Source organism: Homo sapiens, chromosome 6 (assembly GCF_000001405.40).
Source record: "Homo sapiens chromosome 6, GRCh38.p14 Primary Assembly".
NCBI lineage: Eukaryota > Metazoa > Chordata > Mammalia > Primates > Hominidae > Homo > Homo sapiens.
This window is the reverse complement of record NC_000006.12, coordinates 26,030,376-26,058,190: the sequence shown is the minus strand read 5'-3', so window position 1 is coordinate 26,058,190 and position 27,815 is coordinate 26,030,376. Positions and strand designations below refer to the sequence as shown.

Here is a 27,815-nt window from a genome sequence, read left to right as displayed (position 1 = left end):
CACTTTCCATAATTTTGTATAATTCTTATACCCTGTCACTCTGAGGAATAGCCGGTCTAAGTGTTTTTCCACCACTGCTAATTCATCCATCACTAATCTCATTAGACTGTTAATTCCCAGAGGACATAAGCACACAAGCAGACAATGTTTACAAATGTTGGACAAATGTTATTTAATAAAACAATGGGGTCACCCTTAGTCTAAAAGATGTTTCACTTTTCATTTGTCATTGAACTCTTATTTGTAGGTTCCCTTTTGACTTTCCCACAATCTAAGGCTGTTCTCTTTAACACATATTTTCATGAAAACATATATTTGAGCAGAAATTGTTGGGGAGTTGTAATATTACCTTTGTCCCTAAATATGAATCTATAATTATATCAAATATATGGGCAGACAATTTACTTTGCCTTTAATCTCAAGAAAAAAATAGCAATTACTTGGGGTCGGAGAGTAAAATAAGAAGTAGTGAACCTTAAAGTAGCAAACTTTAGAACAGAATAGTTTCAGAGGGGATGAGAAGAGGTGATTTTTCAGCTCATCAACAACAGATCTTATAATAAATTACATGTTCTGGTACTTTTCTTGTCTTTCTGTGTTAAATTTTGCTATTTAAAAAAATAAATTTCAAATACATTGTTCATCTTAAAAGTCAAGAGTGTGTTTTATTAAAGTCAGTTGCTTTATTTGCAACTCAAAAGATATATTTGAGTTCCCAACTGGAGATTGTCCTATATGGTAACTTGCGTAAGGTATGGTTACTGAAAGTAACCTACAATTTTCATGGGCTGAAATTCATTTCTATATTGCAGCGTACAAAAATAAATAAATAAAAAATGCTTGTTTTCTTTGAAAACATATTATCTCAGTGCCTCTAACTGCCAAATCTATTGGCTTTTTTGCAGGCTTAAGGGCTCTCCCTTGTTCCTTTATGATCTCTATCTTGAGGGCCAGACCTCCTGCCTTACACAACTCAGAGGGGGACCTCAGAGCTCTTTAAAAAGAGCCCAATTTCTCGCCTGTAGAGAAGTGAAAAGGATGCCCCACCCCCATCTATGAAAAGAGGGATTTGATAGTTTCAATGTCTTCAAATCAAAGATTTAAGTCTGTAGCCCCCCACCACCCCGGACCCTAGCAAGGCTCATGAACCCCCTCCCATCCCGCCCTAATTGCTTTGGACTGGCCGTGGAATCCTTGTCCCAGTCCACAGTTCCTGTGCGACTGCACGAAGAATTCACAGAGGACCTGTGTTACTTCCCTTGTGAAGAAACAGAATTATCATGAAAATTTAGGTGGAAACCATTTCGCTTTTTTCTTCAAAAATAAGGGAAGCATGTGCCCAACCACCCCTGGGAAAAAGAACCTTCAGGGGCAAAGGAGCGAACAGGTAATTTATAAGAAAAACAGAAAGTGGTCTCTGACTGCCCCAGACTTCCTTCGGAGTTGGGGGAATTGGGGACGCCTGGACGCGTTGTTTTTGTGTTTGTGGAAAAAATAAATGAAGAGCATGAAGCCCGAGGCTTCTGAGATCCTTTCCTGACCAAACCCAAGTGATTTGGTGCGGGGAATTTTAATATTTTTCCCCTTTTGTGAGGTGGAACAAACACAACTTGGGAGCAGCGCAGCGGCTCAGAGCCTGCCAGCCAGGCGGGCGACCAGAGCACCAATCAGAGCGCGCCTGCGCTCTATATATACAGCGGCCCTGCCCAGGCGCTGCTTCATCGGCGCTTTGCCACTTGTACCCGAGTTTTTGATTCTCAACATGTCCGAGACTGCTCCTGCCGCTCCCGCTGCCGCGCCTCCTGCGGAGAAGGCCCCTGTAAAGAAGAAGGCGGCCAAAAAGGCTGGGGGTACGCCTCGTAAGGCGTCTGGTCCCCCGGTGTCAGAGCTCATCACCAAGGCTGTGGCCGCCTCTAAAGAGCGTAGCGGAGTTTCTCTGGCTGCTCTGAAAAAAGCGTTGGCTGCCGCCGGCTATGATGTGGAGAAAAACAACAGCCGTATCAAACTTGGTCTCAAGAGCCTGGTGAGCAAGGGCACTCTGGTGCAAACGAAAGGCACCGGTGCTTCTGGCTCCTTTAAACTCAACAAGAAGGCAGCCTCCGGGGAAGCCAAGCCCAAGGTTAAAAAGGCGGGCGGAACCAAACCTAAGAAGCCAGTTGGGGCAGCCAAGAAGCCCAAGAAGGCGGCTGGCGGCGCAACTCCGAAGAAGAGCGCTAAGAAAACACCGAAGAAAGCGAAGAAGCCGGCCGCGGCCACTGTAACCAAGAAAGTGGCTAAGAGCCCAAAGAAGGCCAAGGTTGCGAAGCCCAAGAAAGCTGCCAAAAGTGCTGCTAAGGCTGTGAAGCCCAAGGCCGCTAAGCCCAAGGTTGTCAAGCCTAAGAAGGCGGCGCCCAAGAAGAAATAGGCGAACGCCTACTTCTAAAACCCAAAAGGCTCTTTTCAGAGCCACCACTGATCTCAATAAAAGAGCTGGATAATTTCTTTACTATCTGCCTTTTCTTGTTCTGCCCTGTTACTTAAGGTTAGTCGTATGGGAGTTACTGAGGTATCAGACGAATTGGGTGACGGGGTTGGAGAGTGGCCGTGGTGAGGTTACAGCATTTAAACCTTTATTGCGGCTTCTAGGTCCCTGACCGGAGGCTTTTCTCGCTGGCGGATGGTTTTGGGATGGCAGTCCCGCCCCAGGCCTGTGAACGGCAGAAAAGACCGCAAAACAAGAGCCAGTTTCTTAGTCTAAAGGGATGTCCGGATTGGACTAAAAAATTTTCAAAAGTCCCGCCCTGCTCCCGGGTTGGTCCGTTCTTCTAGTACATGACTTTCATTCTGTATTTAATTGGATGGTGGAAGACGTTGCTTATTCTGTGTTTTTTGCTTTACTGTGACTTAAAAGTTTTGCCTCTTTTCTCTTTATATTAATGTCTGGGATTTCGGACGCTTTCCATGTTGTTGGTAGTCAAGTTGATGTCTCCTGGAGGTAGTGGCAACATCCAGCCCTGGGAGGAGAGTGCGTGCAGGTACCTTTGTCCTACATTCCTCTGCTGTTAATTTCTCATTCCTGTGGCAACGAAGGAATGCATTTAAAAAACAGCCACAACAGCGGCAATAGCCCTTCCTCCACCCAAGGCAATCGTGGACCTAGGGAGTTTTTTGTGCCACATAACATGTAGCCTTCCGCTAAACTGACAGGTTTGAGCGTATCGATTTTGAGCGTATCGAAAGCACAACTTTTAGCCAGCCATTTTGTCCTCGCATGACTACGGTTGCTTATCCTGTTTAGACAGACAGCAACATTTAAAAATCGAAGTTCCTTTAAACGTATTTTGTTTGGCAGTCCAAATGTTTCTATGCAGAAAACAGTATTTGTACTATTAACTATGAAGAGTGTATGGATAAATGGGAGACATTTCTAATAAAGGCCTTCGTTAATGGTTCCCTCTGTTTGACATCCATGGTGCTTCTGAATACAGAAAGCCTAGCGTCTTATATTCGCTTCTTTTAAAATCTGGTGGGCACATTTTGGTGAGACCTAAATTATGGGGACTGGGGCTTCTGGAGATAAGCTGCTCAATTATTCTACCATCTCCACAATGATTAATATAGTGAGTTGATTTGTTAGTGATAGTGACCACGGATTCATCCCAAGAAAGAGAAAGGGGAGGGAGGCAAGCAGAGAGACAGGAAGACAGAGGCAGGGAAGAAGGAGAAAACATTCTCCCATGGTTTAAGTAATTTTGTGTTGTTAATTTTACATTACAACACGGTTTAACATGGTGAACCCTCTATTTTGGTGTAAGGTTTAACATATGGACATATTTTTCCCAAGACCATTTATGAACTTTCATTTCTGCTTCCCCCTTCTTCCTCCCGTGCCACCCTCCACGCTCCTATCAATTTTGGCTGTTTTGTCATAGGCTAATACGCTATAATTTCATGGACAGTTGGACTGTCTTAGGTTTCTCAGGTTTCTATTTTGTTCCTTTAGTCATTCCCACAATTCTTAAGGTAGAATTGTATTGTTTTAAACATTGTGTTGTGTGCTATCCTCAATGCTGAGATGATTATGTGACAAATGGCAAGTGTTCAACTAATACCTAAATCTGTAGTATCTTATCAAGCCTAATGCTACTTCACAATGCCTACTCCATTCACCTCACTTTATCTCATTACTGGCATTCTGTCATCTCACATCATCACAAGTAAAACGGTAAGCTATTTTGAGAGAGATCACAGTCATATAATTTATATTTATATTTATTTATTTATTTATGAGACGGAGTTTCCCTCTGTCACCCAGGCTGGAGTGCTGTGGCACGTTCTCGGCTCACTGCAACCTCCGCCTCACGGGTTCAAGCGATTCTCCTGCCTCCGCCTCCCGAGTAGCTGAGATTACAGGGGCCTGCCACCATGCCCGGCTAATTTTTGTATTTTTAGTAGAGACGGGGTTTCACTAAGTTGGCCAGGCTGGTCTCGAACTCCTGACCTCAGGTTATCCGCCCACCTCATCCTGCCAAAGTGCTTAGATTACAGGCGTGAACCACCGTTCACAGACTCAAATCATTTTTATTACAGTATATTGTTATAATTGTTGTTTTATTATCAGTTATTGCTAATCTCTTACAGTGCCTGATTTATAAATTAAATTCATCATTGCCATGTGTATATAGAAAAAAACAGTGTATATACGGTTCAGTACTATCTGTGGTTTCAGGCATCCACTGGGGGTGCAGTTTATTAAACATGCATTTACATTAGTCTCCCCTTTGGGAGACTAATTAACTGAGATGTTGTAACGTGACTTTAATAGCAGATAGAGCTAATTTTCTCTCATTACTCTTCTTTTTCAGAATTTTCCTGGTTATTCCATTTTTTATTTTTCCATATGTATATTAAGATCTCTTCCACCTCCTCCTGTTTCTCCATCTCAACATCAAACAATTAAAAAAAAAAAAAAGGCTGGGCGCGGTGGCTCACGCCTATAATCCCAGCTCTTTGGGAGGCCTAGGCGGGTGGATCACGAGGTCAGGAGTTCAAGACCAGCCTCGCCAAGATGGTGAAATCCCGTCTCTACTAAAAGTATAAAAATTAGCCAACCATGGTGGCAGGCGCCTGTAATCCCGGCTACTCGGGAGGCTGAGGCAGAGAATTGCTTGAACCTGGGAGGCGGAGGTTGCAGTGAGGCGAGACCTTGCACTCCAGCCTGGGTGACACAGCGAGACTCCGTCATAAAAAAAAAAAGCCGGAAGCAGTGGCTCACGCCTGTAATTCCAGCACTTTGGGAGGCTGAGTCAGGCAGATTACCTGAGGTCAGGAGTTCAGGACCAGCCTGGCCATGAAAATACAGCCTGGCCATGAAAACACACAATAAATTAGCTGGGCGTGGTGTCACACACCTGTAATCCTAGCTACTCGGGAGGCTGAGACAGGAGAATCACTTGAACCCAGGAGGCAGAGGTTGCAGTGAGTTAAGATGACGCCACTGCACTCCATCTGGGCGACAGAGCCAGACTCTCTCTCAAAAAACTAAATAAATAAAAATAAAGTTATGGTACATTGAACTTCTGTGTTCCTTTCTCCCTTAGATACTTTCATGGCTACCCATTTAATTGATGTTCTTATCATCTCCAAGAGTTAGTCAGGAGAGGAATCAACCCAAGCAAAAATAGCTGATTTTCTAATTTTCCTTCAATGCCCTTTGGGGTCTTAATCCATTTGATTTATGTACTTTCAATTAATCCTAACCTCGAATGTCTTCTGCAAACATGTTTCCACAGATGAAACTCGTCAAATGAAACACATTCCTTTAATTTATAGAGTTAAAAATTAGAAAAATTTTCAATTCTATTTGGCCTTTAGATTCAGTCTTGCATATGTTTTCTCAATTTTGTTCATGCTCTTTAGTTTTGTTTTATTCCATCACAATTGTTCACATAGCTTACTGGCTTAGGTCTAATGAACCATTCATTTGGAAATTAAAATTGGCCATTTTAAGATGAAAAAGATTCTTGCCTCAATTTTACTTAGTTTTTGAAACTGTCAATGAGGACACATGTTTTTCTGTACTCTTAGATTCACTAAGTAGTGTCTTGCAAATTTAACTGACAAAGGACAGATTAACATGCGAAAAAAAGAGCATGCAATTTTATTAGTATATTACATGCACAGAGTTCCCAAAGAAAAAAAAATTGAAACCTTAAAAACGCGGTTAGACTCACAGACTTATACACCATTCCAACAAAGGAAAGGGAGTTTGCACTTCATGGGATGACGAATTTGGGAATGTGACAAGGAAATAAATACATGGGCAATAAAAACCATGGAAGATAAAATGAAAGATAGAAATAATTGTAGTAAGGTTTGTTTTTGCAGAGTCATCTCAGTGCCAACCTTCCATATCTAGTGATAAGAATTGCTCTCTTTTTCCTGGTATAGCAGTTGGGGACACTTTTACAAGGGAAATTTCTGTCACCTTCACAAAGGGAAATTTGGGTAAAGAGAAGACAGAGACCTCTTCCTACACCTGTTGATTTTCAATTGCCTTCAGCTGAAAATAACTTTTATGCCAAAGTAGAATAATTTGGGGGTGACATCCTGATATTCTTCAAAACTTATATTTAATTTCACATTAGTAATTATATCATTTTTGATTTTTAAATTAGTTTTATAAAATAATTTTGAAAAACGGTAATAATATTCAAATAATTCCAGAAACACTGCTGATAAGCCAAAAACATCAATGAATATTGCATAAACAACTGATAATTCAACCATGAAAATTTATGACATTGTTCTTGTGTGATAAAACTATGAGTAACATAAAAACTAGAGGCTACTTGTAATGCATTATTCCAAACTTTCTGTTTTTTATTTATTTATTTATTTATTTTGAGACATAGTCTCTCTCTGTCACCCAGGTTGGAGTGCAATGGCGTGATCTTGGTTCACTGCAGCCTCCACTTCCCCGGTTCAAGCAATTCTCCTGCCTCAGCCTCCTGAGTAACTGGGATTACAGGCACCTGACACCAAACCCGGCTAATTTTTTTGTATTTTTAGTAGAGACGGGGTTTCGCCATGTTTGCCAGGCTAGTCTCGAACTCCTGACCTCAGTGATCCACCTACCTCGGCCTCCCAAAGTGCTAGGATTACAGGCGTGAGCCACCATGCCCGGCGCATTATTCCAAACTTTCATACACAGTGCTATCATGGCTACAAATTGAAGTATCATATTATACACTCCTAGGCAAAGCTCTGGATATTTTGGCTATATAAGCCTGAGGGAAATGTAGTAAGGACATTGTGGTTGAAATTCATACCAGAGATGAACAGGCCCAGTGCAAGACAGAATTACATCACTAAAGGATATCAGAAGAGAATAGGGATTTAGGGTACAGTGGCAACAACAGTTTTGGGAACTAGCATTTTTTGAGCACTTATTTACAATATGCCAAGCACTGTTGCTGATTACTCTATATTTATTTTCAAACACATTCTTGTCACAGCACTTTGAAGTAAGTGCCATTGTCATTCCCACTTCAGGGTGAAGGACTAAAGCTTGGTGTCATTAAGGATGTAGCTAGTTAGCTGTGTGTGTGTGTGTGTGTGTGTGTGCATTTTTTTTTAAATTTAAAGTCAATAAATTTTTATTTGAAGAATTTCACATCAAGGTAAACTTTGTTCCTCTAAAGAGCTGGAGTCAAAATGTATCTTCAAAAGATTCATCTTCAAGTTAGCCCTTCTTAATAGAACTGATGCTTAATCCACAGTTGTCAGCCCACAGTTCTTTTATTTTGACTTTTTTTTTTTTTTTTTTTTGAGACGGAGTCTCTCACTGTCACCCAGGCTGCTGGGCAGTGGCGTGATCTCGGCTCGCTGCAACCTCTGCCTCCCGGGTTCAAGTGATTCTCCTGCCTCAGCCTCCTTAGTAGCTGGGACCACAGGCGCATGCCATCGTGCTCGGCTAATTTTTGTATTTTTATTAGAGACAGGGTTTCACTATGTTGGCCAGGCTGATCTCAAACTCCTGACCTCATGATCCGCCTGCCTTGGCCTCTCAAAGTGCTGGGATTACAGGTGTGAGCCACTGCACCCGGCCTTATTTTGCCTTCTTTAATCTCCATTTGAACATACACATACTGATGAAAACTACAACATTCTTCACCAAAAATCTTTGGGATTTAATTTCTTCAACCACTTTACTTTGGGGTCATTTTAAGATTAGGTGTATCTGCCTGGTTCTCAATTTGACACCCTTTCTCTCTAAACATGAATGAGTTCCAATCATATTTATTCCTAAGCTATCACACTCAAATATACTACAGATCTGTGGAATATGCCAAAAGTTAAGGTGAAAAATTAAATTATTAGGTATTTCATAGTTTTGCTAGTTTTTGATCTGTGAGTGAATATAACTATCCTCTATGTCCTGGCACTGTTCCTCAGAAACATAGGGTCCACATATGTAATTTTAAATTTTTTAATAGGCACATTTTAAAAAGTGAAAAAAGAAATCTATTTTAATGATTTGAATCCAGTGTAACCAAAAATTGTTTCAACAAGGTATCTAATATTAAAATATTGAGTTTTTACTTTGTTATTTTACTAGTTCTTTGAAATCTGGTGTGTATTTTACACTTAAAGCACATCACAGTTTGGAGTAGCCACATTTCCAATGCTTAATACTCACATATGGTTAGTGGCAACTATCTTGGACAGGACAGCTTTTATACTCTGGGAAGACACAAGCAAATACTTGCTCTGCAGCAGAATCCAGATGTTTTCCAAGAAAACACTTTTTCTGACCTGTTCCTGAAACCCAGGTAGTGTCTCTAATACTTTATATTTTATTGGTTTGTCCTATTGTAACCACCCAACGGGCTCTCCTTGTCCACTTCCTAGACAGAGCTGATTTATCAAGACAGGGGAATTGCAATAAGGAGCCAGCGCTACAGGAGACTAGAGTTTTATTATTACTCAAATCAGTCTCCTTGAGAATTTGGGGACCAAAGTTTTTAAGGATAATTTGATTGTAGGGGACCAGTGAGTCGGGAGTGCTGCTTGGTTGGGTCAGAGATGAAATTATAGGGAGCCTAAGCTGTCCTCTTGTGCTAAATCAGTTCCTGGGAGTGGTGGGGTGGGGGACTCAAGACCAGATAATCCAGTTTATCTATATGGGTGGTGCCAGCTAATCCATTGTGTTCAGGGTCTGCAAAATAGCTCAAGCATTGATCTTAGGTTTTAAAATAGTGATTTTATCCCCAGGAGCAATTTGAGGTTTAGAATCTTGTAGCTTCCAGCTGCATGACTCCTAAACCATAATTTATAATCTTGTGGCTAATTTGTTAGTCCTGCAAAAGCAGTCTGGTCCCCAGGCAGGAAAGGGGTTTGTTTCTGAAAGGGCTGTTATTGTTTTTGTTTAAAAGCAAAAGTATAAACTAAGCTCCTCCCAAAGTTAGTTAATCCCAAACTCAGGAATGAAAAGGACAGCTTGGAGTTTAGACGTTAGATGGAGTCGGTTAGGTAAGATCTCTTTCACTGTAATAATTTTCTCAGTTATGATTTTTGCAAAGGCAGTTTCACTGTCCACTTCACCTCACATCAGGCCTCTGACTAGAGGATTCCAACAATACTTAGGCCAGGACACCACCATGTCTCCTTATCCACCCTGAGGGAGTCCAATTTCTGAAACAAAGGAAACTATATATGATAGTATGAAACTATATATGAGAAGGAAATTATATATGATAATCAATTTTAGGGTTATCTTATTGATTAGAAGATATTAAAGTGTGACACTGCCTGGCAATGATATCTGCTGGTAGTAAGAATTTGGCGAATTTAGTGAAATTCCTGAGGCTGAACCTCCACTTCTGTAAAATGGAGACAGTGAGATAATTTGCCTTACAATGCTGAAGTAAGAATTTTACACAATAATTCAGACCAACCACTTCATGTGGTACTTGGCCCGTGGAAGACTATCAATGACAGTTAGTTTATAGTTTATACTATTAATGAATCCTTTGTTTCATTGTTATTTCCTTCTACACGTTGGCCTCTCTAAAAGAAGGTAATATTCAATACAAATAAAGTTAAAACAGCTTGCAGAGTTGTCCCAGGGAACTCACTTAACCACTGAAGTGTTCAAATTGCTTAAGGTTGACTTTATATTCTCCTGACTAACCTTTCTCCTTCTGGTATTTCTTCTGAGAACAGCACCACCATCCAAAGCATCATGCAAACAGTGGTCATCCCAGACCAGTAATTCTCAACTCACAGGGTGCTCCTGCAGAGATGTATTTGAATAGAGTGGTAGGATGCTGAAGAAGGCCACGTAAAATTTGGCCAGTGATCTGGGGCAGATTTATCCTGAAGCTAATGAAACACAAGTGTAAGGGCCTGTACTTCCAAGGTGCAGAGAGGGGCCCTACAAATGTGTTAGTTTGTCTCTCTCTCTCTCTCTGATTTTAAAATTTGCAGTATTAAGGTACTTTAATCACGGATGGTTCAGGCTGCTATTTTCACTCAATCCTCCTTTTTATTAAAATCACCATTGTCTGATTATGTTAGAATCCTGATGAAAATATTTGGAATTTGAGTAAGAGAAAGTTTAGTTGAAGATGTATCTAGTATGGGGATAATAAGTTACGTGATTTGCATATGTGATCATGTGTACTTCATTCGTTGCCAGCCAATCTGACGTAAGAATGGCTTCAAGGAGGCCGGGCGCGGTGGCTCACGCCTGTAATCCTAGCACTTTGGGAGGCCGAGACGGGCGGATCACGAGGTCAGGAGATCGAGACCATCTTGGCTAACACGGTGAAACCCCGTTTCTACTAAAAATACAAAAAATTAGCCGGGCGTGTTGGCGGGCGCCTGTAGTCCCAGCTACTTGGGAGGCTGAGGCAGGAGAATGGCATGAACCTGGGAGGCGGAGCTTGCAGTGAGCCGAGATTGCGCCACTGCACTCCAACCTGGGAGACACAGCGAGACTCCGTCTCAAAAAAAAAAAAAAAAGAATGGCTTCAAGGAATGTTCCTACTGCTCACTGGAATAACTCACCTAAATTCCTGGCAAGATGCAGGTCTAGATAAAATGTTATGACATCTAAGTATTCAAAACACATTCCCAGCACTGAGAGTGAGTGTCTAGTGGAGAGTAGAAACGTATAGAGCCAGAAGCTAGTCTGGAAAGAATTCTTACAAAGTTTACAACTTACATGTGAAAGGAGCTTAACAGAGGATTTTCCAAATTTGAAAACAATCCTAAAAACTTACTTGACATTACCAATAATGTGTTTTGAAACTGAAATACTTCTAAGTTATGAAGAAAACATATTATCATCAGCCACCCTGGAGGAAAGATTGAATTCTATTTCCATTACCTATAGACAACATTACAAAATAATTTCGATCTGAAGATGGAATCAGAGTATTCAGTCAAAACTACAGGAAAATATACTTGGTAGTGTCATATTCAGAAGTTAATAAAATATGCTATTTTCTGAATTTTGTGATGGCTGTTGTTTTGTCAGCTTTTATAAAATTGGAATTTGATTTTATTTTCCCATTATAAATTTATATTTACAGTCTGCAGTACTTTTGCATTTTTAATTTTACATTATAGTTTTTAATAGTTAACAAGTTGTAAAAGGTTTGATCCCCAGAAAACCTTGATCTACCCCATCAGTTAAGTATACTAATATATTTAGAAAATGGATGAAATCAGCATTTGAATATTTTTAAATATTTATTAAAAGAGGACATGGGTAAAAGAGCTTTGCAGTTGCCACCCTTCATTCTCAAATTCCCTGGATAAGGATGACCGCATAATCTTTGGATGGTCATACGCAAGTCTTGTGTACTTGTTACATAAATCTATTTAGTGGACTTTTGGCAGTGTGTACTGAGGCCAGTTTCTTCCACCTGAGCTCTGACTCCACCTCCAGCAGCCCAAAACCAATACTGAATTTTGGGGTCAGCTATTGTTTTTGTGGACTTAGGTAACTACACACACATTGTCTTTATGATAGCTTTAATAATACTGCCATCAGAACTAAAATTGTCACGTGGATTAAAAGGAGTGACGGTGGTGTCCCCAGGAGCCTTTCAATATGTAAGTATTTACACATATACATGCTAAAAAGACCCCTAGGAATTTTTTAACAAGGGCAAAACAGTAACTCAGCTTGTTTTCTCGCAGTAAAACCGGTTGAAAAGGCCTGATAGACTTGTCTGCAGTTACAAAACTTGTGTGTAGTTATCACCTTTATATCTCCTGGAAACTAACATAGACAACCGAATGGGTTACAACTGTTTTTAAGTGAAATTGTGAGTGGCTCTGAAAAGAGCCTTTTCAATGAGGAAGAAACGGGCAGACTTATGCCCTTTCCCCACGGATGCGACGTGCCAGCTGGATATCTTTGGGCATGATGGTGACGCGTTTAGCGTGAATAGCGCACAGATTGGTGTCTTCGAAGAGTCCCACCAGGTAGGCCTCACAAGCCTCCTGCAGCGCCATCACCGCAGAGCTCTGGAAACGCAGGTCGGTTTTGAAGTCCTGGGCGATTTCTCGCACCAGGCGCTGGAACGGCAGCTTCCGGATCAGCAGCTCGGTGGACTTCTGGTAGCGACGGATTTCGCGCAAGGCCACGGTGCCCGGGCGGTAGCGATGAGGTTTCTTCACGCCACCGGTGGCCGGAGCGCTCTTACGGGCTGCTTTAGTAGCAAGCTGCTTGCGCGGAGCTTTGCCGCCGGTAGACTTGCGAGCTGTTTGCTTCGTACGAGCCATTTGCAATGAGAGCACACACAAAAGTGTAGTGAACTGAGAGCAAGTGGCCTTTAAATATAGTGAGAAACATTCTGATTGGTCCTGTAATATTTCAAAAGTCCCGCGCGATAAAATCATTGGCTGAAGAGTGACCAGACTGATTGGTTCATTACTAGACAATCTTATTGGATGAGTTGCCCCACCGCCCATCCTGTCCTTTTCGTTTCAGTTATCTGCAGCGACAAATTGTCTAAAATTCTAGTTCATCCAGTCCCAAAGAACAGAGTGTATAACAAGGTATCTAAGGATTTTTAAAATGTAAATTCCGATTCAGTAAGTTTGAGTGGGACTTGAAATTCTGCATTCCTGACAGTCTCGCAAGTTATCAATGCTGGTGAACACTCACTAAACCACCAGAAACGTTCAGACTCATGTCGGGAAATAACGCTTATATTCAGAGAATGAGATTCCATGCTATTTTGTTACTGGCGAACAGCAAGTTTCCTTGCCCTTTGTTTTCTAAGTCCAAGTCACATTCCCACCCTGCCTGTTCTCAAAATGTCTTATTTTGGTTGGCCTTAAGTTTCACTTTGTATACTCTAAAATGTACTTTCTAAAGGAAGGTGTTATTTTCTCGAAACTTAACTTTTTAACACCATTAGGCTAGGGGGGCGGTGGCTCACGCCTGTAATCCCAGCATTTTGGGAGGGCGAGATGGGACGATCACTAGAGGCCAGGAGTTCAAGACAACCCTGGCTAAAATGGTGAAACCCCGTCTCGCATAAAAATACAAAAACTAGCTGGGCGCGGTAGCAGACGCCTGTAATCCCAAGTACACAGGAGGCTGAGGCATGAGAACCGCGTGAAGCGGCGGGGTGGAGGTTGCAGTAAGCCGATATCGCGCCGCTGCACTCCAGCCTGGGTGACAGAACTAGACTGTCTCAAAACAAACCAATCCAAACGAAAAGCAAAAAATACCCTAACAGAAGCAAGTTATCATCCTTTCTTGTGTAACTATGGACGGCTCTGAAAAATGCCGTTTCAAGTGTAAGCTACGTTTTCTGATTTGAGTGTTTACTTGACCTTGGCCTTATCGTGGCTCTGTTATTTTGGCAACAGGACGGCCTGAATATTGGACAGGACGCCTCCCTGAGCAATAGTGACGTTGCCCAGCTGCTTGTTGACCTCCTCGTCGTTTCGGATGGCCAGCTGCAGGTGGCGGGGGATGATGCTGCGGGTCTTGTCACGTATGGCGCTGCCCACCAGTTCTAAGATCTCGGCGGCCAGGTATTGTAAGTACACTGGCGCACCGGCTCCGACCGGCTCAAAATAATTGCCCTTTCGAAAAAGATGACGGACTCTGCCCTATTGGGAACTGCAAGCCCGGTAGCGACGAACAAGTTTTTGCTTTAGCTCCATTTTCCACGTCCGCAAATAGCGACCTATGAAAGCAGCGGAAAACTGTGAAAGACAAGCAAGCTGGAATGGCGCCTGAACAAATCCTTTTATACAAACTGCAAGGCTGCAATAGGAAGCTATCCTATTGGTCAATTATGTTTGGTGCTTTATCCAATAGAAAAAGATAACATAAATTCCATATTTGCATAAACCCCACCCCTCAGTGAAACCGTGTTTCTTTTGTCCAATCAGAAGTGAGGAATCTTAAACCGTCATTTGAATCTCAGGACTATAAATACATGGGCTCTGAACTGTTCTCTGTACTACTCTGTAGTGGAGAGTGTTAGTAGCTTTTCTATTCTGTTTAGGAATAGCAATGCCTGAACCCTCTAAGTCTGCTCCAGCCCCTAAAAAGGGTTCTAAGAAGGCTATCACTAAGGCGCAGAAGAAGGATGGTAAGAAGCGTAAGCGCAGCCGCAAGGAGAGCTATTCTATCTATGTGTACAAGGTTCTGAAGCAGGTCCACCCCGACACCGGCATCTCATCCAAGGCCATGGGGATCATGAATTCCTTCGTCAACGACATCTTCGAGCGCATCGCGGGCGAGGCTTCTCGCCTGGCTCACTACAATAAGCGCTCGACCATCACCTCCAGGGAGATTCAGACGGCTGTGCGCCTGCTGCTGCCTGGGGAGCTGGCTAAGCATGCTGTGTCCGAGGGCACTAAGGCAGTTACCAAGTACACTAGCTCTAAATAAGTGCTTATGTAAGCACTTCCAAACCCAAAGGCTCTTTTCAGAGCCACCTACTTTGTCACAAGGAGAGCTATAACCACAATTTCTTAAGGTGGTGCTGCTGCTATTCTGTTTCAGTTCTAGAGGATCAACTGGAATGTTAGCGAAGACAAGTTTTAGAGCCAAGGTTAACTTGGACGGGGCCGTGCGCGGTGCCTCTTGCCTTTAATCCCGGCAATTTGGGAGGCCGAGGCGGGCGGATCACGAGGTCAGGAGATGGAGACCATCCTGCTTAACACGATGAAACCCCGTCTCTACTAAAAATACAAAATAATTAGCTGGGCGTGATGGTGGGCGCCTGTAGTCCCAGCTACTCGGGAGGCTGAGGCAGGAGAATGGCGTGAACGCGGGAGGCGGAGCTTGCAGTGAGCCGAGATCGCGCCATGGCACTCCAGCCTGGGTGACAGAGCGAGACTCCGTCTCAAAAAAAAAAAAAAAAAAAAATTAAAAAAATATGAAGTTTTGAAGCAGAAATTATTTTGTCGTATGTTCTTTCATAAATTTTTTGCCTGCCTGCCTTCTTCCTTTGTTACAGAACTCCAACACTTACCCAAAGGTAGCTGTTGGGTCAGGGTTTCTGTACTATAGTCCCTTCTGTGGTGGCCAGAAATATGTTACAGGAAAGAGGTCCCCATCCAGACCCCAAGAGAGGGTTCTTGGATCCCGCGCAAGAAAGAGTTCAGGGTGAGTCCGCAGTGCAAAGTAAATGCAAGTTTACTAAGAAAGTAAAGTGGTGAAACGACAACTACTCCATAGACGGAGCAGGACATTCCCGAAAGTAAGAGGAGGAAGGCATCCACCCTAGGTACAATACTTGTATATATGGGGAGATGTGCTCTGCTACAAGTTTGTGATAAAGGATTAATTTTCTTAGTTACTATATTTTGCAAGAATCAACATTATTATCTTTAAACAAAATTAAGAATGCCTTTGTTCTCCAGATATAGGGATATCTGGACACTCCTAAGTCTGAGTCTGTTTAGTAAACATTATTTATTTGTTCCCTTAACCGTAAACATCTAGAAGCTAGGAATGACTGACTTTCTGGGAATGCAGCCCAGAAAGTCTCAGCCTCATTTTCCTAGCCCTCACTCAAAATGGAGTTACTCTGGTTCAAGTAACTCTGACACTTTTCTTCTCTTTTTTTCTTCTTTTTTCCTTCCTTTATTTTTTATTTTTTATTTTTGAAATAAGAAATCAAGAATACTTGATGTTTCATCTAAAACAATACCCATAATTGATAAGCCAAAACAAAAACCTAGGTCTTCTAACTCAAAACTAGGATGTTTTGCTGTCTCTGCTGATACTCGGCTGATCGTTAATAGGTAATTAACAAACAAGCCTTGCTATGTCCCCCTCAGTTTATTACCATTAGATCATATGCCTACTGTCAATCATATTAATCCACAACTATGCATTTCACAAAACTTGCCATAAAAATTCACAGGTTTCCCGCTTCCCTCGAGTTTTCATTTCCGAAGGGTCCCATGTAATATAAAACTTATATTAAATACATTTGTATGCTTTTCTCTTGCTAATCTTTTTTTTTGTTTTTTGAGACTGAGCCTTGCTCTGTCACCCAGGCTGGAGTGCAATGGCGCGATCTCGGCTCACTGCAACCTCCGCTTCCCAGGTTCAAGCGATTCTACTGCCTCGCCCTCCCGAGTAGCTGGGACCACAGATACGTGCCACCATGCCCCGCTAATTTTTGTATTTTTAGTAGAGACAGGGTTTCACCGTGTTGGCCAGGATGTTCTCAATCTCCTTACCTCGTGATCCGCCCGCCTCGTCCTGCCAAAGTGCTCGGATTACAGACGTGAGCCACTGCACCCGACCAATCTGTCTTTTTGTAGAGGGGCCTCAAGCATGAACTTACTGATGGGTGAGAAAAACAGAATTTTCTTTTCCCCTACAATATAAACATTAATTGTAATGTTATCATTCAGGACATTTTGGTGACCAATCTTACAGAAATTTTATCTTGTGCAAGTCTATGCAAACCAATATGTAAATCTTCTATAAGTGAGATTGTATTTCACTTTTCTAGTATCCTTTTAAATTAATAAAAGAGATTCTAATGATTATTTTCATTACTGCATTTCATTGTAGGGAAGTAGATAATTGCCCTTTATTCACTGACCTTCGCTTTTTAAAAATTTAAACCATGTTACCATGAAAATGCTTTTCAGTATTTCTCTACACACAAGATTGCTGTAAGGGCAAAAATAGAGATAGGAATCATGCATCCATTGATATACATATTTTGATTTTTAATACATGTTACCAAGTTGCCTCCTGAAGGTCTGTTTACACTCTCACCAACAGGGTGTTTTTTCCTGACTTCCACAAATGCTCTTGAACAGTGGGTGTGTTAGTCTGTTCAAATTGCCGACATGAACAATTAAATCTCATTGTTGTTTTTATTTTTAAGACAATTATTGTTTGAGACTGCACATTTTGATAATAACATTTCTTCTATTATGGTTTGATTACTCATGATTCTTGCCCATTTTCTTTTGGGATGTTGCCTTATGTACATTATTTTAAATAGATAGCTCCATGTATTAAAAGATTATTAAGTTTGAGGGCTTATGATATGTCAGTTACATTTCTAAGATTTTTTTTTTTTTTTTTTTTGAGACGGAGTTTCACACTTGTTGCCCAGGCTGGAGTGCAATGGTGCGATCTCGGCTCACCGCAACCTCCGCCTCCAGGGTTCAAGCAATTCTCCTGCCTCAGCCTCCCCAGTAATTGGGACTACTGGCAAGCGCCACCACGCCTGGCTAATTTTGTATTTTTATTAGAGATGAGGTTTCTCCATGTTGGTCAGACTGGTCTCGAACTGCCGACCTCAGGTGATCCACCCGCCTCGGCCTCCCAAAGTGCTGGGATTACAGGTATGAGCCACTGGGCCCGGCCACATTTCTAAATTCTTTATAAGTATAAATTCATTCAATCTTCACCAAAACTCAATGAAGTGTGAGTACTATTATTATCATTGTTTTACAGATCAAAACAAGTAATACAGTCACTTACTGAGTTCTATACACCTGGTAATTTTTTTGTTTCGTTGTTCTATCAATTATTGGGGAAGGGGTGTTGAAATCTCTACCTTTAAATCATGTATGTGTCTATTTCTCCTTTCGGTTCTATCAGGTTTTGCTACACATATTTTGCAGTTCTGTTATTTGGTGCATATACATTTAGAATTGCTTGTTTTTCGTATTGGATTGACCCTGTTATCATTATGTAATATCCCTGTCTGTTCCTAGTAATTTTCTTTGCTCTGAAATATACTTATCTGATATATCATCCAAAAGACCACCAGGATGGCTAAAGAGTAGAAAGGAGAGATTTACTGGCAATACTAATTTGCAAGCCAGGAAGAGATGGTCCCAGAACCTGCCAAAATTACTCTCTCTTTGGGGAGAAGGAGCAGGTTGGTTATTTTTATGCCTCATAGGCTATATATTACACAATAGAGTCATACATATTTAGCACGTTTGGGGGGACAGCTATATATATTATGAGGGGTGCCAAGTGCATTCACAATGGATAAACACGTGTAATATACCTCCCATGTTCACTTCGAGGTTAAATTTTGGTTAAAATGAGGTAGAATTTAGGTCTTTACATCACAAGGTGAACTATAGGAACAAAGTTTACGTGCTGCCTCTAGCAGCTGGCTGAAAATGGCTTAAGGTCTACAATTACGTGTAAGAATAGAATGTGTGTCAAGGCGGTCCTCTGTCCAATCAGAGTTGTAGTGGACTGGACTGTAAATCAGAGTTAGGAGGGCTTCTGATAGCTCCTATAGTTAAGGAATTTAGCAAGTGTGAGTTTTTTGGTAGTCTTTGGAATTTAGGAATTTGCCATGCCAGCCAAGCCATGAATGCTCTACCAGTAGGTAACTTTGTTTGCTTAATCTTAGAGTCTGTCTTAGTTGGTATAGGGGCATCTATTTTGGTCTTTCAGATCCCAGATATTATTAATACAGATACTCTTGCAGTTTTGGGCTGATGTTTATATGGCTTATCTTTTTTGCAGCCTTTAATTTCAACCTGCGTTATGTTTATATTTGAAGTGAGATTCTTGCAGACAGTGTACAGTTGTTGTTTTTTTTTTTTTGAGATGGAATTTCACTCTTGTTGTCCAGGCTGGGGTGCAGTGGCACAGTCTCAGCTCACTGCAACCTCCGCCTCCTGGGTTCAAGGGATTCTCCTGCCTCAGCCTCTTGAGCAGCTGGGATTGCAGCCATGCGCCACCACACCCGGCTAATTTTTGTATTTTTAGTAGAGACAGGATTCACCATGTTGCCCAGGCTGGTCTCGAACTCCTGACCTCAAGTGATCCGCCAGCCTCGGCCTACCAAAGTGCTGGGATTACAGGTGTGAGACCTCGCGCCCAGCCAAACTGTTTTTTTATGGGTGTATTTATACCACACACATTTAATGCAATTATTGATATCTTAGGGCTTAAGTTCATGAAGGGTAGTGTGGGAACCATAGTCTCTTGGCCCACTAAATGTTTGCCAGAAATCACTGACAAGGCAGATTGATTAATAGGTGAAAAGGCATTTTACCTATTGTTTAACGTGTCTATGTGGGAGCATTCAGAATTAATTACCTAACTTCCCAATGAGTTATAGATGCTTATATACCATTTTTAGATCACAGAAAGAATTGGGGCTTAGATTCTGGTAAAACAGGTTATGGGAGGCAAAAGAGGTTTGGCTTGCAAAGGTGGCCTTGTTAGGTAGGTGAAGCCTCCCTCAGAAAGAACAGATGGTAAATGTTTCTTTTATGATTTTTAAGTGTCAGACTCTCAGTCTCTCCTGGATCTGGGGAAAGGTATAGAAAGGTGAGGAGGCATGGCTGCATTAATGGAGATTCTCTACAGATGTAAAATTTTTCCCATTTAAGGCAGCTTTGCAAGCCCATTTCTGCCTGCTGGCCAAGCAGCAGCCATTTCAAAATATGTCAAAGAAATATATTTTGGGGTAAAATATTTTGATTTCCTTTAGACTGGTGGCCTTATAAGAAAAGGAAGAGACACCTGAGCTGACACACATACCCTTGCTCTCTCAACATGTTATGATGCAGTAAGAAGGCCCTCACCAGATACTAATTCCATGCCCTTAGCTTCCCAGGTTCTAGAACAGTAGGAAATAAATTTCTTTTCTTTAAAAGTTAGCCAGTCTGTGGTATTCTGTTATAGTATCACAAAATGGACTAAGTAACTATATTATGATCATCTTACATGACTGATCCCTCCTACATCATACACATACACAGGCCACATTTGGAACATTGTTAGAGGTTCCTCTGCCCAGTACAAATGTACTACAAATTATATATGTATTTTTAAATTTTTGAGTATCTTCAATAGTATATTTTCGTTAACTTTTGTAGTCAAAATGTCATTATAACATGTATTCAATATGCATAATTATTAGTCAGATGTTTTACATTCTTTCTTCATACTAAGTGATATGGTTTGGATATTTGTCCCCTCTAAATCTCATGTTGAAATGTAATCTCCAATGTTGGAAGTGAAGCCTGGTGAAAGGTTTTTGGATCGTGAGGGTGAACCCCTCATGAAGCGCACTCTTCAGGGTAATCAATGGGTTCTCACTTTGAGTTCACAAGAGATCTGGTTCTTTAAAAGAGTGTGACACCTCCCCCATCTCTCTCGCTCAGCTCTCACCATATGATATGCCTACTCCCTCTTCACCTTCCACCATGATTGGAAGTTTCCTGAGGACTTGCCAGTAGCAGATGCCTGCACCACACCTCCTGTACAGCCTGCACAACCGTGAGCCAAAAAAAATTACTTTTCTTTATAAATTAGTCAGTTTCAGGGATTCCCTTATAGTAATGCAAGAACGAACTAACACACTAAGTCTATTTCATATTTACAGAATAGCTCAATCTGAAGTACCCTTTTTCAACTTCACAGTAGCTACTTGTAGCTAGTGGGCACTGATTTGGAGCGTGTTCAAGGGTGAATTGTATTATGCAATTAACAGATTTTTTTTATTGTTTTCGCAAACCACGAGGCATAGATTGTCTTACTTTCTCTGCTCCTGGTGTTGGAGTTGTTATTGGGAAACAACTTATTTTCCTCTTATATTTATATGGAATAAATAACCCCCAATATTTCCCTCCCCAATATCTGCCTTTTGTATGTTTTTTGAAGGCAAGTGCCTAGAATTTACTGTTTTTGAAGCACTTACTGAAAGGATTGCCATCAAGTTGTTTTGCTAATAGTACATGCCAGGCGCTTGTTGGTTTGCTTAATTCAAGGTAACTTGGATGAGAAGAAGAGTTTTTCTCATCCATGGCTCAGTGGAGTATAGATTACTGATATTGTGACTGGATGTACTCCTGCTTTCTAGTCTGAGTTTTTGAAGCTACCCTTAATCTTGGTTTCAATTTTATCTAGCCCTGTACATATCCAAGGCTCTTTCCAAAATGGTCTACGATTTGTTTAGGAAGTTAGAATAGCTGTACTTTCTGAACCACGGTTCCTGACATTTTCTGGACTTCAAACACATCCAGCATTTTATCGAAGTATTTATCCTTCCTACTTGGCTGGCTTCTTCCTTGCCTTCAGGTCTGAATTCAAATGACATTCTCCTGATGAAACTTTCCATCCTTATTTCTATTCTTTTTTCTTATCCCCTTTCTTTATTTTTCTCCACAGCACTCATCACTTATCTCTACATTTTCATTATGTATTTACCTTATTGTGCACCTCCCACTACAAGACAAGTAGCACCGTAAGGAAACAGGTTGTCTGCTTTTTCACTGCTATGCTCCCTGCACCTAGAACACTCTCTGGCACTTAGCAGGTTTTCAGTAAATATATGCTGAACTAATAATGCTGGATATACATCTCCCTCATGAACTCTCTAAATCCTTCTAATTTACATTGATCAATCTTCTTTTCCATGTGCTTTTGTATGATTTATTGCTCAAAATCTTTATTTTATATGCAGAACGTGCACTGCTATTTAATCTTCATGTACGTAAGTCCTCCCTTCTCTGAGTATAATCTCTTCAGGGCACTATCTGAGATAACTTTTTAACATCTCCATCATGAATCTTGTACCTTTTCAAAGAAAATGAGCCAGTGATTACTGATGTTTACGGCTATTGTTGAGGGTGAAGATCATTATAATTTTGAAAAGGGAAGTTGAATATTGTGAAGGGAAAGATAACACTAGAGTCAGAAGACTTGGGAGAAGGCAAAAAACAAACTAAAAATGAGCACTTTTAGTCTCCTGACAGTTTCTCTGAATCAAATCCATAGTTCTGTGACAGCGTTGGCTTAGAAGCAGATTTTTTTTTTTTTTTTTTTTGAAATGGAGTTTCGCTCTTGCCCAGGCTGGAGTGCAGTGGCACGATCTCGGCTCACTGCAACCTCTGTCTCCAGGGTTCAAGCGATTCTCCTGCTTCAGCCTATGGAGTAGCTGGGATTACAGGCTCCCACAACCACGCCCAGCTAATTTTTTGTATTTTTAGTGAAGACTGGGGTTTCACCATGTTGGCCAGGCTGGTTACGAACTCCTGTTCTCAAGTGATCTGCCCGCCTTGGCCTCCCAAAGTGTTGGGATTACAGGCATCAGCCACCGTGCCCAGCCAGGAGCAGATTTTTTTACACTCATGTTTCTTTTTCCTTCTGTCATCCTGTTTCAGTATAAGCAGACCACAGATAGAAGTAGTAGATACCTCAGAAATTCCTGGAATAATTAATCCACGTTCATCTGTACTCCATCTGCTCCTATCTCATGGAATATAAAAGGAAAAACACCAAGATTTCCCTAGGCAATCTGTCTTGATTTTAGGTTCCTCAACAGGAGAGCCAGACAATGGCTGTAATAATATTGTCCCGGCCAAGGAAAAACTTCCCCTTTGCCCTCCCAAGGTTTATGGAAAATTACTGGCAAAACACAGATTAACTGGAGAAAAGGCATATATATTTATTTCATCACAATTTTACAGGAGATTTTAGAATTAAGACTGAAAGATACAGGGGAAATTGCCCATTTTTATGCTTAGGTTCAACAAGATAAACAGCTGTATAGGGTACGATCTAATGCTAACAGACTGAGTGGGGAAGCCCCGCAAGGCTTGTCTGTCAAGATTCTTCTTGACCTCTCAGTGCAGCATTTCTTCCTTCTGGTTATAGGACAAGACTCTCTTTTAGAATGGGGGGTCTTATGACCTACAGGCAAACAAGGTAGGTTAGAGTAATACTTTTAGGTTTTATGGCTGGTTCTAGGGAAAAGGAGTTCTGGTTTGTATGGCCTACCTTGAGGAGGAATTCTGGTTTCTATGGCTAGACTTTGGGGAGAATGGGACTTACAGACAGGAAGGCAGAAGGTGGTCAGTGAAACACTTTTATAATCATAATCCCATTTTGAGTATTTCTGTGTTATGGAATGTTTGTTCTCTCATTTCCTGAAAGATTCCAGAGACTCCTCATTCAGTGTTGTGAAAAAGTTCAGGAAATGCAACTCAAAAATGTGCCACTTTGTTACGCTGATTTCTTTGAACTGAGGGCACCTAGGAAACAGTAAATTCAAGGAAGGGCTTTCGCTGAACTCTAATCAAAAATTTGAAAATTAAAAAAAAATTCAAAAAGGAATTTAGTTGTTAAGATTCACTTCCCTGGGGAATCTCATCAACCAGAGAAGATTAACTGTATCACAGGAGAGGAGACTGGTGGTTAACACCATCTAAACAGACTTTGTCACAGCTGTCACCTATTCTTTGAAACACCCATTTATTTTTCTCCAAAATCATATACTCTCCCCTAAGTTGCCTACATCCCCCTTCTTTCTCCCTTATGAATCAAGAGAGCTTATAAGCTTCTACAGTTCACTGGGATTTGGGGTATTCGCTTTTCTTCCCTCCCACTCCCCCTCCCCTTTTTTTGTCTTTGAGACACAGTCTTCTGGCTCTGTCGCCCACGCTGGAGTGTGGTGGCTCTATGTGAACTCACTGCAACCTCCTCCTCTCGGGTTCAAGCGATCCTCCCACCTCAGCTTCTCGAGTAACTGGAACTACAGGCGTGCACTACCAAGCCCGGCTTTTTTTTTTCTTTTTCTCCCCCGTTTCTTTTTTGGTTATTTTACTGGAGACAGGGTTTCTCCATGTTGTCCACGCTGGTCTCGAACGCCTGACCCGCCGTCCTCGGCCTCCCAAAGTGCTGGTATTACGGGCATGAGCCACTGCGCCCGATTTGAAGGACCTCTTAAATATCTATTTAGAAATTGGTCGGAGTCCACTCCTTTCCAAAAACATGAGTCACAATCCGGGAAAAGCACGAGCGGCTGAAAGTCAAAATAACCAGAACAAAACCTCCACTCATGCTTAAAAAAGGTATTTTGACAAAATCCTAATTCGGCCAATTATTATTAGTATTCAAGTCGAAGGCTCGTCAAGCCAGACTGGGGATTGGGTCAAACATAAACCTTACACCAGACGGAAGGATTACATGCAAATGAAGGATGCAGATTCTGATTTCCCATTGGGTATTTGACATTAGCCAATGGGAGAATTCCTCACAGCCTACCTCCAGTCAGTATAAATACTTCTCTGCCTTGCGTTCTAATGTAGTTTCATTACATTTTCTTGTGGCGATTTTCCCTTATCAGAAGTAGTTATGTCTGGTCGCGGCAAACAAGGCGGTAAAGCTCGCGCCAAGGCTAAGACTCGGTCTTCTCGTGCAGGTTTGCAGTTTCCTGTGGGCCGAGTGCACCGCCTGCTCCGCAAAGGCAACTACTCCGAGCGCGTCGGGGCTGGCGCGCCGGTGTATCTCGCGGCGGTGCTTGAGTACCTGACCGCCGAGATCCTGGAGCTGGCGGGCAATGCGGCCCGCGACAACAAGAAGACCCGCATCATCCCGCGCCACCTGCAATTGGCCATCCGCAATGACGAGGAGCTTAATAAACTCTTGGGGCGTGTGACCATCGCGCAGGGTGGCGTTTTGCCTAATATTCAGGCGGTGCTGCTGCCTAAGAAAACTGAGAGCCATCATAAGGCCAAGGGAAAGTGAAGAGTTAACGCTTCATGCACTGCTGTTTTTCTGTCAGCAGACAAAATCAGCCTAACAGCAAAGGCTCTTTTCAGAGCCACCTACGACTTCCATTAAATGAGCTGTTGTGCTTTGGATTATGCCGCCCATAAAGATGTTTTTGAGGTGTTTTTAATGGCTTTGAGTGTGGCACTTTTAGTAATTTGTCCTGCAGAAATTAGATCCATAGAAACCTCAGGAATTCTAGGTATGTGGGAGAAGTGCCATGCAGCACAAAACATGTTTACAGGGGTGATTCGCGTTAAGTTTCACACACAGCAGTTACTACATTTTAGAGGAAGGAAATTATACCCATGAGTGCATTCCTAACTATCTTGAATGGAAGTGTTAAAACCCGCATGCCCCACACAAGTTTGAATATGTCATACCATTTGCTGTAGCAATTAATGGCATACACAATTGAGAGCACACACATTACCACTGAACATTTGAGTATGTATTTCCCAAAATGAGCTTTTTTCCAGTTTGGGGATGTTTTGCTTTGTTTTGGGGTGGAGTCTCCCTCTCGCCCAAGCTGCAGTGCAGCGGCGTGATAACAGCTCACTGTAACCTCGAACTCGGGCTCAAGCGATCCTCTTGACAGCCTTCTGAGTAGCTGGGATTACAGGCGAGAGCCGCCACGCCCGGCTAAGAGCATTTTTCTAATTGCCCACACTTCTTATGCGACACCCAGAAAAATACAATTTTAAATAAAGCGCATATGCAAATTTCCCTAATCGTCTCCAATATTCTCTGATTTCTTTTTTATATTTTAACTAGAAACAATTGGAGGTTTCCGCGTTGCTTTGTGTGGTTGTAAATTTTAAGACTTCAGGAAACTTTTCCAGTACAAGACTTGTCCACAGTGGATATAGCAGCTAAGGGGTTAACAAAATGACGTCAGAGTAGCTACGGTAATGGGCAGGAGCCTCTCTTAATCTGCAACCAGGCACAGAGATGGACCAATCCAAGAAGGGCGCGGGGATTTTTGAATTTTCTTGGGTCCAATAGTTGGTGGTCTGACTCTATAAAAGAAGAGTAGCTCTTTCCTTTCCTCCACAGACGTCTCTGCAGGCAAGCTTTTCTGTGGTTTTGCCATGGCTCGTACTAAACAGACAGCTCGGAAATCCACCGGCGGTAAAGCGCCACGCAAGCAGCTGGCTACCAAGGCTGCTCGCAAGAGCGCGCCGGCTACCGGCGGCGTGAAAAAGCCTCACCGTTACCGCCCGGGCACTGTGGCTCTGCGCGAGATCCGCCGCTACCAAAAGTCGACCGAGTTGCTGATTCGGAAGCTGCCGTTCCAGCGCCTGGTGCGAGAAATCGCCCAAGACTTCAAGACCGATCTTCGCTTCCAGAGCTCTGCGGTGATGGCGCTGCAGGAGGCTTGTGAGGCCTACTTGGTAGGGCTCTTTGAGGACACAAACCTTTGCGCCATCCATGCTAAGCGAGTGACTATTATGCCCAAAGACATCCAGCTCGCTCGCCGCATTCGCGGAGAAAGAGCGTAAATGTAAAGTCACTTTTTCATCAGTCTTAAAACCCAAAGGCTCTTTTCAGAGCCACCCACTTATTCCAACGAAAGTAGCTGTGATAATTTTTTGTTGTCTTAACAGAACAAATTTCTAAGGACCCCCCCGGAAAGCATTAGACTATGGTCTTAAAGTTGATTAACAGAAATAACGGTTTGGTCAGTCTTGCAGTGTAGGTTATTTCTGACCTTATTAAGGTGCTATTTGGAGAGAAGCTGTGTAAGTCCACTATCATTCAGGCCTCTAGCTTGCTATGATTAGCATTTGTTTAAACAACTTTGTAAGAGTAAGGGAAAAATCTGGTAAGTAGTTAACTGGCGCTTACTAGGCATTTTTGCAAAGCTTTGAAAAGATTAGAAAATTGTGTCTTGCGAGTTCCAGTGTCTTCCTCAAAATGCTTAGGAAGATTTTCTCAGCTCAATACATAGTCCCCTAGGTTTTCTCATATATTATATATATATATATATATATATATACTGTTAAATTCATTTGGCTGTTAACATTAACCTGAAATTTATTCTGGTGCAAAATGTGAGGCAGGGATCTAACTGGCTCTCATTTTATCCATAGCTAGCTACCCACTTTAAATCTGTCAGTCTGTCGACCAAGCATAATTTAATCCCTTATATATGAATTTTTATATGTGTGGCTTTGCTTGTAAATAGTCTATCTGGTTGCATTGCTTTGTCTCCTCTAGGACTATGCACCATGACATGCCACATTCTTTTTTTCAGTACTTCTTGCCTGTAGTTATTAAAATCTAGAATTTACAAGTTTTAACCATTTTCTTTCTGTTGATCTTGCTTTTCGGTTTTGGAGGTTGGGGATTGAGTACTGGAAGAAAATTTAGAGGGATGGGAATACTGTACGCAAACAAAAGTAATATTTACTTTAAAATTTTTATATTTTGTATTTTTTTATCATATAGCTTTTACATCACATTTTACAGACTAACTTTAGAACAACCACAGAATGTCCAACATTAAAACTACTAATTCCAAAGACCTTGCCTCACATTCTTTTTTACAATAAATATTTTTTACACCTAACATTCTTTCTTGGCCTACATCTAGAATGTAAACTGATGTACCATACTAAAATCGCCTGACCAACTGTCAACAACAACAAATCACACACACAAAAGATTAAATTTGAATTGCATCGTTTACTTAAATTCATTTGTGTTCCAGCTTTTAATAAGGCAGTTTTTGGTTTATAAAGTAATATTTGCATTTTAAAAATTATGAAAATGA

General features: G+C 41.6%; 5 protein-coding genes and 1 pseudogene across 5 annotated transcripts, besides 15 other annotated features; 4 read left to right on the top strand and 2 right to left on the bottom strand.

The window, feature by feature from the left end:
- Window positions 1,669–2,068: an enhancer, noted in NCBI's record as "active region_24187". NCBI's record gives its function as "activates an Ori minimal core promoter by ATAC-STARR-seq in GM12878 lymphoblastoid cells {active_cell/tissue: GM12878}" and the evidence as "EXISTENCE:reporter gene assay evidence [ECO:0000049][PMID:35858748]".
- H1-2 (H1.2 linker histone, cluster member) lies at window positions 1,721–2,451 on the top strand. The gene has a single exon (NM_005319.4). The coding sequence runs from the start codon at window positions 1,763–1,765 to the stop codon at window positions 2,402–2,404; it is 642 nt and encodes a 213-aa protein (NP_005310.1). The 5' UTR covers window positions 1,721–1,762; the 3' UTR covers window positions 2,405–2,451.
- Window positions 2,159–2,208: an enhancer, noted in NCBI's record as "active region_24186". NCBI's record gives its function as "activates an Ori minimal core promoter by ATAC-STARR-seq in GM12878 lymphoblastoid cells {active_cell/tissue: GM12878}" and the evidence as "EXISTENCE:reporter gene assay evidence [ECO:0000049][PMID:35858748]".
- Window positions 2,619–3,240: an enhancer, noted in NCBI's record as "NANOG-H3K27ac-H3K4me1 hESC enhancer chr6:26055179-26055800 (GRCh37/hg19 assembly coordinates)". NCBI's record gives its function as "activates a minimal SCP1, AML or CMV promoter by ChIP-STARR-seq in naive H9 embryonic stem cells {active_cell/tissue: H9 hESC(naive)}" and the evidence as "EXISTENCE:reporter gene assay evidence [ECO:0000049][PMID:30033119]".
- Window positions 2,699–2,768: a silencer, noted in NCBI's record as "silent region_16999". NCBI's record gives its function as "represses an Ori minimal core promoter by ATAC-STARR-seq in GM12878 lymphoblastoid cells {active_cell/tissue: GM12878}" and the evidence as "EXISTENCE:reporter gene assay evidence [ECO:0000049][PMID:35858748]".
- Window positions 3,861–4,482: an enhancer, noted in NCBI's record as "H3K27ac hESC enhancer chr6:26053937-26054558 (GRCh37/hg19 assembly coordinates)". NCBI's record gives its function as "activates a minimal SCP1, AML or CMV promoter by ChIP-STARR-seq in naive H9 embryonic stem cells {active_cell/tissue: H9 hESC(naive)}" and the evidence as "EXISTENCE:reporter gene assay evidence [ECO:0000049][PMID:30033119]".
- Window positions 4,881–5,054: a silencer, noted in NCBI's record as "fragment chr6:26053365-26053538 (GRCh37/hg19 assembly coordinates)". NCBI's record gives its function as "represses an EF-1alpha promoter that drives an FKBP-Casp9 reporter gene in an ReSE screen in K562 erythroleukemia cells {active_cell/tissue: K562}" and the evidence as "EXISTENCE:reporter gene assay evidence [ECO:0000049][PMID:32094911]".
- H3C3 (H3 clustered histone 3) lies at window positions 12,322–12,807 on the bottom strand. Its single transcript, NM_003531.3, has one exon. The coding sequence runs from the start codon at window positions 12,778–12,780 to the stop codon at window positions 12,370–12,372; it is 411 nt and encodes a 136-aa protein (NP_003522.1). The 5' UTR covers window positions 12,781–12,807; the 3' UTR covers window positions 12,322–12,369.
- Window positions 12,445–12,764: an enhancer, noted in NCBI's record as "active region_24185". NCBI's record gives its function as "activates an Ori minimal core promoter by ATAC-STARR-seq in GM12878 lymphoblastoid cells {active_cell/tissue: GM12878}" and the evidence as "EXISTENCE:reporter gene assay evidence [ECO:0000049][PMID:35858748]".
- On the bottom strand, window positions 13,641–14,291 carry H2AC5P (H2A clustered histone 5, pseudogene; annotated as a pseudogene).
- Window positions 13,995–14,234: an enhancer, noted in NCBI's record as "active region_24184". NCBI's record gives its function as "activates an Ori minimal core promoter by ATAC-STARR-seq in GM12878 lymphoblastoid cells {active_cell/tissue: GM12878}" and the evidence as "EXISTENCE:reporter gene assay evidence [ECO:0000049][PMID:35858748]".
- On the top strand, window positions 14,478–14,964 carry H2BC3 (H2B clustered histone 3). The gene has a single exon (NM_021062.3). The coding sequence runs from the start codon at window positions 14,534–14,536 to the stop codon at window positions 14,912–14,914; it is 381 nt and encodes a 126-aa protein (NP_066406.1). The 5' UTR covers window positions 14,478–14,533; the 3' UTR covers window positions 14,915–14,964.
- Window positions 23,656–23,715: an enhancer, noted in NCBI's record as "active region_24183". NCBI's record gives its function as "activates an Ori minimal core promoter by ATAC-STARR-seq in GM12878 lymphoblastoid cells {active_cell/tissue: GM12878}" and the evidence as "EXISTENCE:reporter gene assay evidence [ECO:0000049][PMID:35858748]".
- Window positions 24,046–24,095: an enhancer, noted in NCBI's record as "active region_24182". NCBI's record gives its function as "activates an Ori minimal core promoter by ATAC-STARR-seq in GM12878 lymphoblastoid cells {active_cell/tissue: GM12878}" and the evidence as "EXISTENCE:reporter gene assay evidence [ECO:0000049][PMID:35858748]".
- Window positions 24,136–24,195: an enhancer, noted in NCBI's record as "active region_24181". NCBI's record gives its function as "activates an Ori minimal core promoter by ATAC-STARR-seq in GM12878 lymphoblastoid cells {active_cell/tissue: GM12878}" and the evidence as "EXISTENCE:reporter gene assay evidence [ECO:0000049][PMID:35858748]".
- Window positions 24,499–25,128: an enhancer, noted in NCBI's record as "NANOG-H3K27ac-H3K4me1 hESC enhancer chr6:26033291-26033920 (GRCh37/hg19 assembly coordinates)". NCBI's record gives its function as "activates a minimal SCP1, AML or CMV promoter by ChIP-STARR-seq in primed H9 embryonic stem cells {active_cell/tissue: H9 hESC(primed)}" and the evidence as "EXISTENCE:reporter gene assay evidence [ECO:0000049][PMID:30033119]".
- H2AC4 (H2A clustered histone 4) lies at window positions 24,573–25,099 on the top strand. Its single transcript, NM_003513.3, has one exon. It carries the CDS (start codon window positions 24,623–24,625, stop codon window positions 25,013–25,015), a length of 393 nt encoding a protein of 130 aa, NP_003504.2. The 5' UTR covers window positions 24,573–24,622; the 3' UTR covers window positions 25,016–25,099.
- Window positions 24,616–24,715: a silencer, noted in NCBI's record as "silent region_16998". NCBI's record gives its function as "represses an Ori minimal core promoter by ATAC-STARR-seq in GM12878 lymphoblastoid cells {active_cell/tissue: GM12878}" and the evidence as "EXISTENCE:reporter gene assay evidence [ECO:0000049][PMID:35858748]".
- Window positions 26,066–26,185: an enhancer, noted in NCBI's record as "active region_24180". NCBI's record gives its function as "activates an Ori minimal core promoter by ATAC-STARR-seq in GM12878 lymphoblastoid cells {active_cell/tissue: GM12878}" and the evidence as "EXISTENCE:reporter gene assay evidence [ECO:0000049][PMID:35858748]".
- On the top strand, window positions 26,092–26,602 carry H3C2 (H3 clustered histone 2). Its single transcript, NM_003537.4, has one exon. It carries the CDS (start codon window positions 26,131–26,133, stop codon window positions 26,539–26,541), a length of 411 nt encoding a protein of 136 aa, NP_003528.1. The 5' UTR covers window positions 26,092–26,130; the 3' UTR covers window positions 26,542–26,602.
- Window positions 26,226–26,455: an enhancer, noted in NCBI's record as "active region_24179". NCBI's record gives its function as "activates an Ori minimal core promoter by ATAC-STARR-seq in GM12878 lymphoblastoid cells {active_cell/tissue: GM12878}" and the evidence as "EXISTENCE:reporter gene assay evidence [ECO:0000049][PMID:35858748]".
- Window positions 26,603–27,815: the final 1,213 nt, after the last annotated feature.